We start from the raw sequence: 20,002 nt of genomic DNA, 5'->3' as shown, positions 1-20,002 counted from the left end.
TGAAAAAATTAGAAAGGATCAGCTGACGTGCCTTTATTTCTTCACCATAAATACCTCTCACACCCAGGCTGGAAGGGAAAAGATGTAAAGAAATGTTTGCGCCTTCACTCAGAGCTGAGGAGAAAAAGGCAGGGTTTTATGCTGTTTTATTGACATTCAAGAATACCGCTTATCAAAAATCACAAGTTAGAGCTTTCTTGAAGTGGATTCATTTTCTCCTCCAAGCCACTTGACTGGATTTTGCCAGAGAAGAGTAAATTTCAAACCCCTTGAAAGTCAGTCTCCCCACAGTCTACAGACTTGCCACAACAATAGCAATAATCCCACTAATCCCAGCTTTCAGACGATGGATGTCCAAACTCCTGGTGGCCACCCCTCCCCCCCACCTGTCTGCTGTGTCCTGTCCCCTCTGCACAGATGCCGGCTACAGCAACCCTCTGCATGAGATGCGCTGTTTTCTGTCTCCAGTCATTTACCTTCTCCTGCCTGAAATGCCCTTCTCCTCTTTTTCCTTTGACGATCTCCCCACTCCACCCTATCGTCCTCCAAGGGTCATGTCAGGGGAAACTTCCTCCAGAAAGTTTCCTGTGATGCTGCTCTCCACCACCTTTTCTTCCACCCCTATCTTCATATTGGCTCTCATTGCACCCTTGGAGTCCTTCTCACTTAGCTACCTTTATGCTACAATTTCTACTTATGTCATCTCTTTCACGAGACAGGAAAGTCTTTGAGGACAAAAATTTTGTTTATTTTTGTCTTTTTTTTTTTATTTAAGTTTTGGCTTTCCTAGAATCTTTCTCCAATGCTCTGTAATAAGTCATTTAATGCTTATTGAATTAGGCCTTTGCAGACTAAAGACTAGGTATAGATGATCTTTTGTTTTTCCTTGCTTGATTACTGAGGAATGTTTTATGTGTCCAACGAGATCACTGACTCAAAGAACTTAAAGGAAAAGCAGATTAGCCACTCTGGGTTTGGTATAAATGTTCCACATCAGAATGCAAAATCATAATAAAGGAATCTATAGTTTCGTGTTGCTGGGAGTCAGGAGGCCTGGACTCTGGTTGCAGCCCTGCCACTATCTTGCTGTCTGGCTGTGGGCAAGTCATGGTCCTTCTCTGGGCTTCTCTTACTTTCTCTGAAAAAATAAGCACATGGACTGAGGACTGCCAAATCTCTTGTAGATCTAAAATCCTAGAATTCTATAATCTTTTTCACATATTAAACACTTTTTTCATGGGCTCAGAGTTGGCTTTACCATTTCAATGTCTTGTGACAGTATTAGCTAGGAAATGCAAGCATCTGACCTCAGCAGAAACACTACAAGTCCCCACCAATCAAATTTCTCAGAAGAAAGTACATTCAAGTGGGGGAAAAAAAAGAGATGGGGAATTATTCATTTACTGCTCTCTAAGGCTCAAAAATGTAGAGATTACTATACTACATCTTCCTACAAGTTTTTTTACTTAATCTTACTGGCAGCCCTTTGAAGTAGCCCAGGTGGGCAACTGGGTAGCCATTAAATATGCCATTCACCAAATGGTTCAACTCTTCATTCTTCTAAGAGAATAGTAGGAGCATGATTTCTGGCCCACAGTGGTTGGGGATACTATGTAACCAGTTCTTTCTAAGAAGTTGTGAAATAATTGTCAACTTCAAGCTGAGCATTTAAGTGCAGGCATGAGGCCATCTCAGTTTCTCTGTTTCCTCCACAAGGGTGGGCAGAAGTGTTCCAATCAATGGCTGCTCCATCAGCATAGGTTCTGGAGTGAGGCTAGTGTAGAGAAGAAGCCCCAGATGACAGATGAACTGAGAGGTACACATGGCACCAGCAAAAAACAAAACAAAGAAAATCTTCATTGCTTTAAATCACTGGCATTCTGGTGCTATTTGTTGCTGCGTCACAATTTATCCTACCTTGACTGACATGGGCATTATTCCTAGTTTTCCTATGAGGAAAACTGAAGCTCAGTAAAGTAAAATGAACACTTTTTTAGGGTCATACAAACCTCATAAGTGTCCAAACCTGGTTCAGTGCTATTTTCTCTGTTCCATACTGCTGTCTTAATTAGGATTAGGTATTAAGCTTGATTTAATTTGAGCCCAGCCTGTGGGTACTGGCTTTCTTGGTCACCTATTGGAAGATAAGAAGGGATAGTGATAAGAGCATAGGCTTTGGAGCTGAGCAGGTATGAGCTTGAGTCCAGGTTCTGCCACTCATTAGCTCAATGTCCTTGGCATGTTGCTAGTGTTTGGTCTCCTAGTTCTTCTGAATTAAGCAGGACTGCAGATAATGGGAATCCTTAATAGCAGGGAAAACTTACTGTTAATTGTATGATAGCAAACATCAGTTGCAGGATGGGTAGTTATTTTGGGGTGATGTCTGCCTTCCAAACATTCCTCAAATCAGAGAGGCTAAGTCACTTACCTGTATTCATGCAATAAATGGCAGAGCGTTGATCCCAACACAGGCCTTTCTGATTCCTTCCAGTGTGTCTCAGCCTTCAAGACAAAACTAGCTCTGCTAAAATTCTACGACAGTGAGGAATGAGAGGCACAGCCCAAATTTAATGACTAACTTCTTGTTTGACTTGGAGCTTCAAGTTGATTTACTCCTTGAATATTCTTTTCTCTCTTACTCTGGCTTAGCATTGAGAATGGCAGACATTGCCTTGGCAAGGTTACAGGATAAACTTGCTGCTTTTAGGACGTCTGTATCCAGCGGAATCTTTATTTTCTGTCCCTTGGGCATAATCTTGGAAAAACACATCTGTTATTCCGGGTGCTTACCTGACTGGGCTTATTTTTCCTCCCTTGGATGGAGAAAAATGTGCTATCAACAGATGAGGAAGAGTTTTCACATCTTTTGAAGTCACGGACCCTTTGGGTATTAAAAAACAAACTCTCAGAATCTTGATTAAGTCATAAAGTGTTATTGAAAAAATGAGAGATCAGTCCTTCAGCTCGAAGATGTCAAAGTCACTGGACATGAATTTGGGGTCTCTACTGATTAAGTCACTGAAGTGTGGACAATGGTTGGGGGTTGAGCACACCTTAACAGATGGACTGTACATTTCTCAAATACCTGTACCAGGACACATATCCCTTCCTTTCCCATTGGCTAAGCCACATTTACATGCAACTGCCTCGAAACTCATCCTTTCTGGTAACTTTCCAGGACCTGAAAAACAGAAACAAAGGCTAGGATGAGAGTTAAATACTTTGATCTACCTTATTCATTCATTTCAAAACACTTATGAAGCACCTATGTGCCAAGCTCTATAGTAGACACTTAAAATTCGATCCCTGACCTTATAGAGGTTTTAGATAGTGGAAACATATGAAAATAAGGCAATTAAAAGATGGTATGCTCGGCCAGGTGCAGTGGCTCACACCTGTAATCCCAGCACTTTGGGAGGTTGAGGCAGGTGGATCATGAGGTCAGGAGTTCAAGGTCAACGTGGCCAAGATAGTGAAACCCTGTCTCTACTAAAAATACAAAAATTAGCCAGGCGTGGTGGCAGGTGCCTGTAATCCCAGCTACTCGGGAGGCTGAGGCAGAGAATTGCTTGAACCGGGAGGCAGAGGTTGCAGTGAGCCGAGATTGCGCCATTGCACTCCAACCTGGGCGACAGAGCGAGACTCCATCTCAAAAAAAAAAAAAAAAAAAAAAAAAGATGGTATGCTCATTCATTTAACAATATTGAGTGCTGATCCTATGCCAAGCACTGTCATAAGTGCTGGGAATTTAACAGTGAACAAACTTCCCTGTCCCATGAACCTTAGCTGTTGATGATGGGCAGATAATAAGATAGATAAGTACATGATGCAGTGGTAAGTGGTAATAATGAGCACTCCAAATGAGGATGGGCACAGTAAGTGGAGAGGGTGCAGTGGAGGGTGTTGTTTCTGCCAGGATGGTCTGGGAGGGGTTCCCTGATGATGTGATGTCTGAGGGGAGCCCTAGGTGATAGTGGGCCATGAGACCTGCAGTGTCCTGTGGGGACACCTCAGTGGGTCATCTAACCCACGTCTACTTTGTGACTTTGGTCAAGCCACCTGACTTCTCTGAGCCTTTGTTTCTTTTTTTGGATCTTGAGGAGGTTTAATGCCCTACCTGCCCACATCATCTGATGATGAAAATAAAGAAAATCCATCCCTGAATGAGGTGCCTGCTCTTCCGTCTTGATCCTGTGAGTTATTCTCATCAGCCTGCTCTCCAGATGGCCTTGGCCAGTAACAATGTCATGCTTTCTATGGTGCTATGTAAAGTCAATGTCTCACTTTGAATCCAGCCACCAAAAACCAAGTCTCCCAAATTCCCTGAGCTCAACTCCACAACAGATATGATGAAAGGAACCTGTTTTTTCATATTATTGTCAGGAATAGTAATCTCATGTGTTTAATGCCCTCTAATGGGACTCGCCTTGGGTGAAGTGATTTGGCATTATGTTCACTATAACAATGTTACTATCATTATATTTATTAATATTAAAATTAACACGTGTGGAAACCTCAAGCATATGTCTGGCATATAATTAATACTCAGCAAATACTATTTATCTTTATTGTTTTTTCCTTTTCTTTCTCATCCTATTTCCAGTGATTCTTGCCCTCTGTTTTGTTTGAGCAGAGGCTGCAGGGAGCTAACATCATAGGACTTTAGGCTCAAGGGAGAGAACAAGGTAAAAAAACTCTTTAACTTCCTTCTTGGAAACTTACATTGCACATTTACTGAATGCCAAGCTATGTTTTAATCAATTTACATATATATTAACCTATTTGATCCTCACTTTGACACTATGAGGAACATACATCAATTATCCCCATTTTCTAGATATGGAAACTCAGGTATAGTGATATCAAGGAACTTCTTCAAGATCACTGGGCTAATTAATCAAAGAATTCTCTAGCCCAAGCCCCCAGAACAAGAAAGGATTTAGGGGGTCAGGGCAGAAGTTCTTTAAGGAGTTAAGATAAAAAGTGGTGGAAGACTTTCTACAGTATCTCTCCAAATCCTGAAAGGAGCAGATAAGATGCAGGGAATGCTTGAGCCCCAATGGGGAGGCACCCTATGCTGGAAGGCAGGGGTTAGAGTGGTGTTTCCTGTTGTCTGAGTTCTGCTTACCTTCTTGGATTCTCCTCTCTCCTTCCCTGGGGCCAGCAGGCATGCCCAAAGGTAGTTGTAAATTGCTAATCTCAGCTGCAGAAAGACAAAGTGAATTATTAAAGAGAAAAAATGAATCCACATGCCTTTGAACTCAGACTCGAGCACAGCTTGGCTCAGAGCCTGGTGCTGCTCGTCTCAGAACTTTAGGGTCAATAATTGCCAACTCCTTGCACCCTGCCCTCTGAGACTTGAGGTGGTCCTTGGGCACTGAAAGACCAAGTGTGGATTCCCAGGTACAGATGCAGCATGAGGGGAACGTGCTCCCCAGCCTTTGGAAGCCGTCAATCTTTCCTTTCTCCTTTCTCCTGGAAAAGTAGTTGGGTTTGAGGAATAGTGGGGTACTTTGTCAGTTAGCTGCTGGGGCACCCATTGATCTTTGGAGAGCTAAGGTCAGAAGAACAATTACCCAGCCTGTAATCCTTCTCCATATTTTTCTTCTCCAGACCTGTTGGAATTACATAAGATTGTCAATGCAAGCTTTGTTCTGCTGGTGTTTCTCTCCCTCCTGTTATTTCTCTCTTCCTATCCATTGTTGTCTCCACCTTCTTCTTCATTCTCATTATTTGCCAGACTGTACCACTTTCCTCTTTCCTCCTCATCTAGGGAGTGATGAACCCCTTTGGTCAATTTCAAGGTCGTTTCTCGGCTTGCTGTGGATCATCTGTCCACTGATGTGAAACCGCCATGCAGGGGAAAGCTGGAGGCATCAGATAAATGTGAATTGAAATTTTGGTGTTTTACCTATTTGCTATGTGACCTTGGACAAATCACTTAGCCTTTCCTCCTCTTTAAGTAAGGATTGGATTAGCATATGAGTGTACTTGTGACTGGTCAGTGGCAAGTGACCCACTGATGGTATTATCATTATCATTGTTATTGTTTTTTTTTATTATAATTATTCCCTATAGAGAAGGGGTGTGGGTAAAGTCAGCCCCTGCCTGCCTCAACCCCACCAGAACTCAGCAACAATAACAAGCATTGCTCCTGAAGGCTTTGCTTGCACAGGGCCTGAGCCAATAAGACACAGTCTGATGTTAGGAGGACCATCCTTAGAAAAATGGTCTAGAAAAGTCAGATGTGCAGTTACCTAGATGAAGATGACCCAGGAAGACTCCCTTCCAGCTTCATTCCATGAACATCACTAGGCTGCAGCTTGGCCATCTGACCTCTCCCTGAAGCTTCTCAGCTTCATCAGTGTAGCTACAAGAAAGGAGCTTCTGTCACTGCCTTCAGAGCCCTTGGTGTCACTGCCTTTTGAGGGCAGCGAGGAGGAGGGGAAATAGATTTGTTCGAGTTTATTTATGATTCTTGACATGAGTACAAAAACCCTGGTGCAGTAGAACTGGAAAGACTGCTAGATTTAGAATGAGAAGACTTGGATCTGAGCCATGACTCTATCGTTTACTAATTAGGAAACCTTGGGCAAGTCTTTTAACTCTGAGAACATCTCCTGCCATTAAGTGACAACAATCCTTTAGTGTGGATGCTTCTAGCATGGCACTTAGTACATGCTGGCTCCTTTCTTTTAACACTCTTCTAGGGAGGATACTAGACATGGATTTCCACTCTGCAGGAACCCAGAGTTGGCCGGGAGAAACAAAGTGCTTATAATAGTTGCCAATTATTATATAAGAGGCAGCATGGCCTTGGGTGAAGTGCAAAAACTCTTGTGTGAGACTTCCTGGGTGCACATCTCTGATCTCCTGCTTATCACCTGTGACTTTGGGCAAATTAATTAATCTCTACATGTTTCCATTTTCTCATCTATAAAATGGAGCTTGTGATATTAGTATACATATATAGTTGTTCTGAAGATTAAGAGAGTAAATAGACATGAACCATCACCATCACAGAAGGATCTTTGTCTCAGTGCTAGTTACTATTATTATATATCAACTTACAGTAACCCTTCTTAAATGCCCACCTCACTATTTCCTTTTCTTTCATCCCTTGGCCGTATTTGATTGGACTAGGGGTTGGGACCTCATATGAATTTAAGTTGAGCTGATCAGAGTCCCTTCTCTAGAAATTTGGAAATGAAGCCGAGTATTGTGTTTGTGTGTGTGTGTGTGCCTGTGAGAGAGAGAGAGAGAAAGACTTGTAACAGATATTCTCAATAGCGTTGGTGAAAACATCTTCCCTCTACTTCCCACCTGGGTAGACTGGAGGAGCAGGAAGAAAAACAGAGAGATTCACAAAGAGGGACAGAGATAGAGCCAGAGAAAGGCAGCAGAGTTGGAGGACACACAGAGGGGAATACAGGAGAGGGAGAGAGAGTCGGACAGCTCTCTAGACCTTGGTTCTAGTACATTCTTGAAGCCCAGCTGCATTTGTGACCTTGAATTCTGAGGACACTTCTATGTCATTTTTGACAAATCCTTTTGAATCAATCAGGACAGCTTAATTTATGCTGCAGTAACAAACATTCCATACACAAATCAAGATGGTTTAATACTACACAGGTTTTGCTCCTTCTATAGGCCAACATACACAATCACCAGGGAGCTCTCTGCCTTATCATCCTCACTCAAAGATAGAGGCTTTTTCTTGACACAGGCCTCCACAGTAACTTTAGTAAGGAAGGGAATGTGGCAAACTGTGCACTGGCTCTAAACCTTCCACTTGGAAGTGACACAGATTGCTTCTGCTCACAATTTCATTAGCCAAAAAAGTCACATGACCACACTTATCTTTCACGGGGAGGAGAAGTACAATCTCACCATGTGTAAATAAGGAATCCCAGAGTATTTTTGAACAGACTTTACTAACTACCATGCCCTCTTTTCTTCTCAATCCACCTTAAAATGCTTTCTATTAAAAAAGTGATTAAACAATAATTCCTAAAGAACAGAGATGAACAGAAAAGAAATTCTCTGTTTCCTAGGTGGTTGGAATTTAATTGGCTGGGACAAGCTTTTAGAATCCAGAGAAGGAACAAACTAAAGAGCAGATAAAGTTATGCAAGCTGGATGGAAGAGGTAGTATTTGAGCTGGGTTCTGTTGGTGGAAGTGTTTGCCTGGCACCTTCACAATTCAGCTTTGGAAACTTTGTTTGTCCATAACATGGTGCACTTTGAAGCCATGAAGGCTGGAGTCTGCATCCCTGCTCCCGGGGGACAGAGTGAGCTGATAGATGACAGGCACGTAGCATATTACATGATGCTGACTAGAAGTTCAGGAAATGTTCCCTGCCTTTCCTTATCTCCCTAAACCACAGTCTTTTCTTTCTAGTTACTGCTGTGGCAAAGTTTCTTATTTTCGCCTGGGGAATCTAAACACTTCATACTGGCAGTATCACTGGAGGCCACGTGATTGAGGGGTTTGCCATTTTCCTGGGAAGACGAGTTTACTTGTTGGCATAAAGTTCGTTGCCTTGCTGTTACAAGCCAACAGACTTGAGGCTCTGAGATACCATCTGTTTCTCAAATATATATATATATATATATATATATATATACACACATATATATATGTGTGTATATATATATATATATATATGTATATATATTAGAATCTTCCCTGAGAATGTCATTTTCCACTTCAGAGATAATTCTTTTTTTTTTTTTTACCAACTAGTAGAAATCCTGGATACTTACAATTATTCTTTTTGTGTGATTATTAACCTGTAAAATGAAAGAGAAAAATATGTATATACAGAATAGCAGTTGAAGCCTAGTGCAACAGAATTATATTTCTAAGCCACAGCTCCAAGAGTAGCTCTCCTCTGCTCTAAAACTGTCAGTAGGTACCCAATGACCACAGAATAAATTTTAAGTACAATTCTAGTAACATCTCTCATGATATTAATATTCCTTCATGTGGTACCCTTCCTCCTATCTGCAACCTTTGAAGTCAGCTAAACAGCAACCTATTTATAACGTGTTTGGTTGCAAGTAATAGAAAACCCAACTCAAAGAGACTTAAACAATAGTGGAATTTACCGGCTCATGTATTTGAGAAGTCCAGAAGGATAGAAGAACTCAAGGTTGGTTTGAACCTGTGTCTCATCAATATCACATGGATATGTTCTTTCTGTCCTTTTGATCTACTTTTCGTGGAGTCATTTTTATCTCTTTGAGGACTTAAGATAGCTGAGGATGTCCCCAGGGGTTCCGGGCCTTCTGCTTCCCTTAGAGAGTGAGCAGTATTTCCATTCATTCACCTTCTGAACTAATTTCCCACCTTCCTCTAATTATACCTTCGTAAGTTAATTGCACACACTGGATTACTCTGGCTAGTGTAAAGGATTGTGCTGAAGGCTTAACAAATCACAGAGACACATTGACTTGGGCCAGTCAGCTGCCCCATCCCCATTCCAAATTCTACCTGAATTTCCCACTTTAAAATTCCCTAGTTAGAATTTCAAAACCCAGAAAGTATGCATGCTGGGGCTGCAACCATTAATGCATCCAATATGGTCAACATTTAATCTGTCTATATACTCAGCAAATATTTATGAAGGACTTACTATGTTTCAGAAGACTGTATTCTACCAGACATAGTCTTAGGCTTAAAGGAAGTCACAGTCTACTGTAGGGGCCCTGGGGAGAGCAAGTACAGAATGTTTTGAGTTTCTACTCAGGTGCTATGATAAAGGTTGGCACAGGGTGCTCTATGAGCCCAGAGAAGAGGAGAGGGCATCCACAGTGGAAATTGAGGGTGGGTAGAGTCAGAGAGGACTTTCCAGGGGAGATGATGCTGAGGAGAAAATGAAATTTAATCAGTTGGGAAGGTGGAAAGAGGAGAGAGGAAAGAACAGTATTCCAGACAGACAACACAGTATGTGTGAAGGCAGAACAATGGACAAAGCATGGTTATTTGGCTAACGCAGCTAGTTCTGTATAGCATAGGTGTCAAGAACATGGACTCTTGACATCAGAATGCCTGGGATCACATGCCAGTTCTATTACTTAGAACTGTGTGATGGGTAAGTTACTTGACTTCTATGAGCTTCTGTTTCCCCATTATAAAATAGCTATAATAATACAAATAACAGTAACTACCTCATTAAGGTTGGTGAATATTAAATGAGTTATGTATAAACTACTTTCATTATGCTGCACTATAGAAGCACTATAAAAGTGTTAGCAATTATTATCATGGCCAGTGTTGTGGACACACACACTTATCTATTTGGAAGCACCGAATCTGGAAAGTGAATAGGAAACCTGGAAAAATTTGATGTTGCATATAATACAGCCTTGCTTTCCCCTTGGTTACAGCTGTATCACGAATTCAAGGCTTGCGAACTGCAAAGGATTTTATTGTTCTTGTCTAAATTGATCGCTTAAGCTGCTGAGTTGGAGAGATTTTGCATGATCATATCAATGTTGTCATCTTATCATTACTGTAATCACTGCTGCTCAGCAATTTCCTCATCTCAAAAAATGAGACAGGATAGTTTGTGCTTGAAGGTTTGTTCTTCGGAATCAGACAGATCTATCTGACTTGATTCCTACTCTGTCACACACATAATTCTCACAGCAACTCTGTGGGTGAGGTCTTGTTACTCCCATCTTGCATATGAGGAAACTGAGGATTGGAAAAATTAAGCAATCCACCTACTGTCATAGAGATGGTAGGTGGCAAGACTGCACTTTGAGTCCAGGATGAAAACTAGGGTTTTTTGCTTCTGGATTGTTAATTTTGTAAAATGGGATAATGACAGTAACTACCTCCATATTGGTGTGAAGATAATATGAGATAGTAGTTGTGAACCAGTCAACACTATGAATGGCCCAAAATAAATATTTAATAACTTTGCTCTGATTATGGCAATATTTGTCTTTCTCAAGTTTTTAACAAGCATCAAATTAACTAATGGGTGTGAAAAAAGTATAAAGAAGGAAGACCATTCATTGAGATATCATAAAAAGAGTTCATGATGATTAATTTATTTAAAATTGCAAAACCTTCCCTACTACCCACCCCCCCCCACCCCACCAATAATGTTTGCTATCCCCTATCCTGCTTTATTTTTCTCTGGAGGACTCCCCACCATCTAACATGGTATATTTTAATTATTTACCTTTTAACTTTTGCATGTTCCTTACTAGAATGTAAGCTTCAAGAGGGTGGGAATTATAGTTGGTTTTGTTCTTTGTTGAATCCCCCAGGCCTAGAATAATGCTTGGAAATAATAAATGCTCTATAAATATTTGTAGAGTGAATGATGAATTCACAAGTTAATTAATCAATTGTCAATTAGAAAAATGAGAATTCAGGTCCCTTCCAGTCCTAAGATCCTGTGATTCTGTGTGTTCACATGCATTTCTTGACTGTTCCTACTTTTGAAGGATACAGGAGAGTGGAGAGTTATCTGTCTCAGTTATCGTGCTGGCAAAATCATAGCTTCTTCATGAACCTCAAGGCTTGTGTAAAACTTACCTCATCATGAGCATCATTTCCATGTGTTCATTCTTCAGACTCAGGTTAATGCTTTAAGGCAACCTCCATGTTTGGTTGGCATCACCTGGTGAACCAAACATCAGTGCCATGTCAAAAAGCAATGACACCATGCCTTTCTCAGCACAGACACCTAGAGGAGCCACAGCACAGTCCTTGCTCACCCTTCTCTTAGCAGCCCAGCAGCGGGAACTTCAGTCTCTCCCCACCCACACACACACACACACACACACACACACACACACACACACACCATTCTCCTTTGATGGAGGTAGAGTTCCTATTTCTTCTTCACATGGATTCTGGATCTTCCCCATCCATACTGTGTGTTCTCCCAGGATAGTACAGATCACATCAGAGAATCCTTCCTCAGCTGGATTAGTAACACCCTTCATTTCTTCAAGAATACAACACACGAAAGAACTTCATTCTTTAAAAGCAAATGTAGATTTTCCTCGTTTCCTCCTGCCCATCTGGCCATTCTTGCTAAGCCTCTGAAAAGGCCCATCTTGGTGTCCCCAGAGCTCTGTTCTACTCCCCACTCCCACATCACACTACACATCCTCTCATAGCCATTCCCTCCACATTCCTGGCTGCAACCACCAAGTCTCTTCTGGCAGCTTCTCTATGGTCCAGGCTCTCTCCTGAGCTCCAGGGGAAACTTGTGAACTGGGCGTCTCCACCTGGATCACTCTCAGGCACCTGACACTCAACATTTCCACACTTAATTCAACATCTGTGCCCTTGAGCCTGCCTTCCTACACCAGCTTGCAGCAGCTCCATTCATCCGGTCACACAGGCCAGAGACCCATGTTCCAGCCTGACTGTGACCTTGCCTCCTCCTCACTCCTGTCCTGCTTCTGGGCCTCCATTGGCCTTCTAGAGATGCGGATTCAGCATCCTGATGAGTCCCGAGTCTAGCCACTCCTCGCATGCCTATCCTAGCCACAGGCCTGCATCCCATCTCACACAATGTACTTCATCCTCCTTTGCCTCCAGTCTTTACCTTCTCAAATGAACTCAGTTCACTGCAGCAGAGGAATATTTCTAGAACACAGTTCCAACTAAATCATGCTCCTGGTTAAAGCCATTATGTGACTTCTGCAGAAGTAAGACTGAGATTCTTGCCCCGCTCCTGCCCCAGGTGTCTGGCTCATCCACCACTACTATCCTTAGCTTCCTCACCTACAAATCGCAAGTATGTATCCCTCTCTCATGGGGTTGTTGTGATGACCAAACCAGCAAATCCATGTACTGTGTGACATCTTTGCCAGCATGATGTCTGGCACACAGTAGATGCTCCACAACTGCCCAATTCCCTTCCATCCTTCTTTCTGAACCAATATTTGGGATTGATCATAGACTTTGGTGGAGATTTCTCTTCTGTAAACTGAAACTGAAGCATTTTTAGCTGTCTTTCTTTTGCCTAGGCAAAAGCAGAATGCCACTCCCCGCATCACAGTTCTATCTCTGTGATGACAGATCATCAAATAATTAGGGCAGCAAGCATCTGAAATTGTGTCAGCTCCCTGATGGTTGGGTCCCCAAGTGCCTGGCCTAGTATTGAGCAAGGCATGAGCTTCTCTCCATGCTGCTTCCCCAAAATCTCTGGGCTGGGATAGCTGAAAGGAAGAGAAAGAGAATGCCTGGGGCACTGACTCTGTGGGCAAGGGCAGCAGCTTTCTATGTCTCCGCAAGAGGCATTATAGGTGAATATTTGGCAGGGAAGGTTAATGAAAAAAGCATAGGTGTTGGAATAAGAAAATGTGGGTTTGAAGCCTGACTCAAGCCCTCCACATATCTAGTACATGTTGACAACTTTTTGAGCCTCAGTTTCCTCAGCTCTGAAATGGGGATAATGCTTTTTATCTCATTGGGTTCGTGGAGAGATCAAATTAAATAATGGATGTATTACATAAGATATCATTTCAACATGGAGACACTAATTATTGATATTAGGTGTGTTGTGCTGAACATGCATTGAGGGACAGACAGTGACAGTCACAGAGCAGACTCCTCTGTCTACTCGCTGTCTGGGTGAACTGGGGCTTGTTAATTAACCTCTCTGGGCCTTAGCATGTTTATTTTTAAAATAGGGACAATTGCCCGCCACAGTGCATAGGATTGGTTATGTATGTATTCTTGGTACGCCGTAAAGTACAAAGGATAGTTACAATTCTTGTTATTTATGCTAATTATGGTAGACAAAATTAATTATTCATCATTATTATTAAATCAGGACAGTAAGTACTGTTGTTTTAGAGGACGGTGCCTCGGTTGGAAGCCTTGGACAAACTTAATCTCTGTGTCTGTTTCTTCAAGTATGAGGTTAAGAGGGTAAGTTTGGTGAGCACCTAAAACAGTGCCTGGTATACAGTAAGCAGGCAATAGATGTAAGTGCTCAACAAACGCATGTTGGATAATTTAGTGAGTGAATGAAAAGTTATGTCATGGAATTATTTTGAAGTCTACATGGAATGAGACTGTGTATTATGTACTGTGGAGTGATGCACATAAGAGCATATTACTCTTTGACAAAGCCGTCATATAGCATGTCCGAGCCTACCAGAATAGCCTCCTTCAACATGTCTTTGTGTGCTCTTCTAATGCAACAAGGATGGACTCTGCACACCCAGCCCTCCAGGGTCAGAGCCCTGAAAGCCTCGTGAAGCCCAAGGAGACTGTGGTGTTGTGTGTCACACCAAGCGTAAGTGACAGTAGTGAACACATTAGAGGTGCAGTTTGCCTTTCTTCATTCCCACTCATTCTCATACTAATTTGGAAGAACATTGGACCCAAGAGTCAGAGATAATGATGCTTTCTTTTTTTTTTTTGGTTTTTTTTTTTTTTTGAGATGGAGTCTCACTCTGTTGCCCAGGCTGGAGTGCAGTGGTGCAATCTCAGCTCACTGCAAGCTCTGCCTCCCAGATTCACGCCATTATCCTGCCTCAGCCTCCCGAGTAGCTGGGACTACAGGCCCCCACCACCACACCCAGCTAATTTTTTTGTATTATTAGTAGAGATGGGGTTTCACCGTGTTAGCCAGGATGGTCTCGATCTCCTGACCTCGTGATCCGCCCGCCTCTGCCCCCCAAAGTGCTGGGATTACAGGCGTGAGCCACCATGCCCAGGCGATCATGGTGCTTTTAACCTATAATCTTTCTTTTGAGGTTCTGAAATGTTCCAGAAATCCAAACAGACATCTTTTTGAGCTTTGCTATGTTCCTGACAAATAGTGAATGAATGCATCCTTTTCCCCGCTATATATAGGTGAATTAAAGAAAGAAAACACTACTGCGTGGAATTCAAAAGCATTATAGAAGCCTCCTACCTCAGAACGATAGAGATGCAAGGACCCTTAAGGGTTTCTCCTGCAACCTTCCACCCAGTTTCCTCCACTTCACCCCTGGCTGCCAGCCTCTATGTGCCAGGATACTTCCTGTTTTGTCTGGCATCTCATCTGCACTAGTGCTCTTCACGGACCCAATGTGAGCCTTCCCTGAATTTTACCTTCTTTGGAGTCTCACATAGAAAACTTGTCCCTCTCCTCAGCATCTCCACTTCAAATGTTTGAGAACTGTATTCCTGTCCTCTCATCTTCTTTCCTTCTGGCTAAGACTGTCTTTAAATTCTCCATACTATCTTACTGTTTGTGACAATAGTATATAAAATTTGTTGAGATAAAGATTATTATGTGCAAGGCACTGTCCTAAATGCTTTATTTGTTTGTTTTAATACAGCAGCTTATGTGTATGGAACACTCATTATCCCCAATACAACAGCTGCATGTGTATGGAACACTCATTACCCCCCACTCATTGTACAGATGAACTGGTTGAGGCCTATAAGGAGATGGCAGTAAACCCAGCTAGTATACGTATGGCTAGGATTTGACTCTAGAGTGTTGGCTACAGAATTTTCACTCTTATCCCATAGACTGTATCTCCTGTACTTTTTTAAAATGTTCCTAACAAAATAATATAGATAGATTGATTATAGATACCAGTTACTTCACTCTTAACCCATAGACTCTGTCTCCCTTACTTTTTTTGAAATGGTCCTAACAAAATATTATAGATAGATTCATTATAGATACCAATTACTGATGGGCTGCTAGTTCCTGGAATCTGTGGTAGGTGTTTTACACACATTAATGCTTAACCACACAAGAACTATGTAAGGAGATCTCATTGTTTGCAGGTGAGAAACCTGGGTGTCAGAGCTGGTAGTTACTCTGACCTCCCTCTTCAGAACAAACGTGCTTTATCAGAGAAGCTCATTCATTCACTCTTGCATTCCACAGCATTAGACGAATGCCTCATCTATGCCAGGCACTGGGCTAGGCCGTGGGAGTCCCTCTCCTCGTCATAGTTACATTGTAGCAGGAAAATAGACATTAAACAATGAATTACACCATTGTTGATTTAATTTGTGATTTTAGTCACTCAAATAAGGAACTAACATTATATTCAGTGCTGTAAAGGAAAAAGGAAGTGTGTAATAGGAGAGAATAACAAGAGGGTCTGATGCTTGTGGAATGAGAGGAATTAGCTATTCTGATGGGGAGCAGAGATGAGGGAGAAAACACTCCAGGTGAAGAGAACAGCATGAGCAAAGGCTCTGAGGAGGTGTTGGGATACAAGGAGAATGGCGAGGCCGGAGCAGGCCCTGCAGAGCCCTGAGTGCCAGATGAGTTTAGCCTGTGAAATGTAGAGTCGCTGAAGGTATTCAGCAGAGAAAGATGTCATTCAATTTTGTTTTGAAAAGATCACTCTGACTGCAAGGTGGAAAACGGACAGGCAAAAAAGAAGTGATTCCAGTGTCTCATGGTATCTGAGGAGCAAGACTCTTGCACCTGGAGCTGGACTCTGCCTCTATTAATACAGCCAGGGATTTGCACCTGGGGCAGCAGCACAGTGCAATAGTCAGAGGTGCCACCCGAGAGCCCAGATGCCTGAATTTGAAGCCTGGCTCTACTTCTTACTCATTATGCAACCTTGGCCAAGTTACTCAATCTTTTTGTGCCTCAGTTTCTTCATCTGTAAAATAACACCTACTTCGTATGGTTGTGAGATTATGAGAATTAATATAAACAAAGCACTTAGAACAGGGCCTGGCATAATGTTAATGTTCTTTTGCAATTATTATTATTGTTAACAGCCACACACTCTGTTGATTGGGAGTGGTTTTGGTTAATTAAATCCATAGGATTATTATAACATAAAAAAGTTTATGAGAGTTTTAAGCCTAACAAATCAATCTCTCTTCCCAACCCCAAACCACAGGCCATGCTGAATAAATACTCCCATTCCTCATGATTTCCCCTACCCCTGGCTGGTGTGTTTAACACTGGAATTGTGTCCACTTCCTTTTCTGTATCACAGTGTCTCATGTTATTCATTTGTTGTTTTGAGGATCTGCCTTTTGTCCACTCCTGGAAGAGATGTCCCCCTGTGTAGGCTGCTTTGAGCCTCTTTCATCACTTGCTCTTCCCCATCTTATTTAGGAATCAGCTTAGTTGTCACTGCCTCAGAGATTCCTCTACCATCACCCTTGTGGTGGACACTGTGAGGTGCCATCAAGAAATCCCTTCAAGATGGTACTTGTTGGTCCAGCCTCTGAGAGTGCAGTGGGCAGACAGCTTGCACTTGCTAACCTTCCCTGGGATTGCCTCGGCTACAGGGAGCTGCCTTGCCCAAGGTCAGATCCTTCCTCTGATAGCCTTCATCCAATAACTTGTTGATGTGGAGGTTATCAGGTCAGGACAAGTCTGCATGACTGTTCAAGCTCCAGGACTCCCTCAGGGTTGGCCAAGACTGTCCCTGGCCTACACTGCAGCTCGACATCTCCCTCTGCTGACCCCTGCTTCCTTTTCCCCCTCCACAGATGTAGATTCCAAAATCACCACGCATCCTAATACACATCCTGCATACTACTCTGTCTTGGTGTCTGCTTCAGGGGAGCCCGCCAACTTGACCATGGCCACTGCGCACTCTCCGCTGGGAGGGGACCATGTTGTTCCATTCTCACCCTTTGTATCGACTCATGAAGTACATTTTCTTTTCAGTACAAATCAGAGTCTGTCATGAACTGAATTTGTTGATTGCTTGTTTCCCCTCACACCCAGTTCCCTTTACTAAAATATAAGTCTTTTATTTTAGACTCTTTTTTAAAAAATCCAGTTTTATTAAGGTATACTTGTATGGCATGTTGACTATAGTCAATAATACTGTATTGTATACTTGAAATTTGCTAAAATATAAGATTCTTATCTTCCTCAAAGGCATTCAATAAGTATCAGTTGAATTAATGTACTATAATATAATGGTTAAATTCACCCTGCATTTGAAGCTAAACATCCTGGATTCAAATCCTGATTGTGATACTTGCTAACCAGTGATCTTGCCCAAGCTTTTAAATCCTGGAAACTATCAGTGCTTGGCCTAGGGCATGCATAGCACAGGGTAAGTGCTCAATAAATTTTAGCAGTTAATAGTCAATTCATTCATGGGGTTGTTGTGAGGATAAAATGAGATAATATATGCAACTGGCTTAGGTAGCATAGTACCCAACTCAGAATAAGCCCTCAGCAAATTTATCTATTGTTGGCCGGGCGCGGTGGCTCACGCTTGTAATCCCAGCATTTTGGGAGGCCGAGGTGGGCGGATCACGAGGTCAGGAGATTGAGACCACGGTGAAACCCCGTCCCTACTAAAAATACAAAAAATTAGCCGGGCGTGGTGGCGGGCGCCTGTAGTCCCTGCTACTCGGAGAGTCTGAGGCAGAAGAATGGCGTGAACCCGGGAGGCGGAGCTTGCAGTGAGCCGAGATCACGCCACTGCACTCCAGCCTGGGTGACAGAGCGAGATTCCGTCTCAAAATAAATAAATAAATAAATACATAAATACATAAATAAATACATAAATAAATAAAAAAATTTATCTATGGTCATTACCAACTGTCCAAGTTAAATGCCTGGAATGCAAGTCTGTGGCCTCAGCCTTGGAGTCCCCTGCAGTGCCAGGCACCGCACTGAGTAGACTGGAGGCACAAAATCAAGGCTGGTGGGTTGACGAGCAATCCTTCCTCCTTCGTCCTCTAGGGCAGGGAGTGGGCTGCCTTTATTCTGAGCACTCCACAGCGCCTAACCCAAGGCCAGCCACACAGCAAGCACTTCACATGGGCACTTCGAAGAGCTGGTTTGAACTGAATTTCAGTGTCATTAGGATGCTAAAACGTGGTCTCCATGGTGACTCCCAGCCCAGCAGTCTGAGGAAGGTGCTTCCAGATCTGGTGGCTGGCACACTGCAGCCTCTAAACACATGCCATATTTTTTCACATTTCTCAGACAGATTGTGGGTTGTGTGTTCATTAATTAAGATGAGAGTAATTGGTCCCAGCAAATAGTTTGTACATCAGCTTGCAAATTATGTGCGCTACGAGGCCCCGTGGTTCTTTCTTCCCTATCTCATATCTCTATAGCTGGTTCCTTGGCTCCTGACTGTTTCTCCAAATCCCCAGCCCCTCATTTTACTGTAACAGTTGAGGAATAAAGGGAGAGTAGGATTTAAAATGAAATTTCTTTGGCTTATTGTAAGTCTATTCATGCCCATGGAGGGAAGAAATAATAAACACCCTCATCTGTATGCAATACTTTTTGATTTTCAACAAATGCTTTTACACATGCAATTTCATGTATTCCTCACTTTCTCACTGGGAATCAGTTATTATTATTGTTAAAGGTGTTAAGGGTTCAGGCTATAGAGCACCAGTTTTGTCTTTTCCACTTAGCAGCTGTAGAAATGGCAATTGGCTTGGGCTATCCACCTGCGGCTTTCCCATTGTGAAATATAGCGATGATCTAGGACCTACTTCATAGGGTTAAATTGTGGACTAGGCAAGATAATGCAGGGAAAGCACAGAGACCACATAGTGGGCTGTCAGTGTTTTTTGTTGTGAATATGCCCATTTTACAGATAAAAACTCAGGGCTCTGAGACACCCAGTTGCTTGGCCAAGATCTCTAGCTTGCAAGGGGCTTGATAGATGCTAGGCTTCAAGCTCTCTGATTTCTAAATAGACACTCTTTCTACTCCATGAGCTTAATTCTGTCTACCATAGGCTGAGTCTGTGCCAAGTGTGGGGGCCCGGGCTATACACTGGACTTTAGGTTCTGGTGCTTCTGGTCTACAGAGTCCTCTCTGAAAGGTTGTTATGAGCAAGGATCCTTGCTCCTGTGAAACATTTCCTCTGATTTTTTCCTATAGCAAGGCTAATTTGCAGCTGTTGTAAAGGTGTCATTTTTTTTCTTGCGTCACGAAATGACTCACACCCCTCTTCAGTTATTGTACCCCAAGGCCATTTTAACATTCTGTTATTTACAGCACTGTGACCCCAGAGCAGCCAAAAGGCTCTGCTGCTTGCCTTA

At 42.5% G+C, this 20,002-nt stretch overlaps 1 protein-coding gene across 4 annotated transcripts in view, besides 1 other annotated feature; it reads left to right on the top strand.

The window, feature by feature from the left end:
* DAB1 (DAB adaptor protein 1) overlaps window positions 1-20,002 on the top strand; it is a 1,551,949-nt gene that overhangs the window by 463,535 nt on the left and 1,068,412 nt on the right. The gene's annotated exons all lie outside the window — the stretch shown is intronic.
* Window positions 18,264-18,765: an enhancer, noted in NCBI's record as "H3K4me1 hESC enhancer chr1:58530099-58530600 (GRCh37/hg19 assembly coordinates)". NCBI's record gives its function as "activates a minimal SCP1, AML or CMV promoter by ChIP-STARR-seq in naive H9 embryonic stem cells {active_cell/tissue: H9 hESC(naive)}" and the evidence as "EXISTENCE:reporter gene assay evidence [ECO:0000049][PMID:30033119]".

The sequence above is a fragment of the Homo sapiens genome, chromosome 1 (assembly GCF_000001405.40).
Source record: "Homo sapiens chromosome 1, GRCh38.p14 Primary Assembly".
Lineage (NCBI taxonomy): Eukaryota > Metazoa > Chordata > Mammalia > Primates > Hominidae > Homo > Homo sapiens.
The sequence above is the reverse complement of the archived record's forward strand: the minus strand, read 5'-3'. Positions and strand labels throughout refer to the sequence as shown.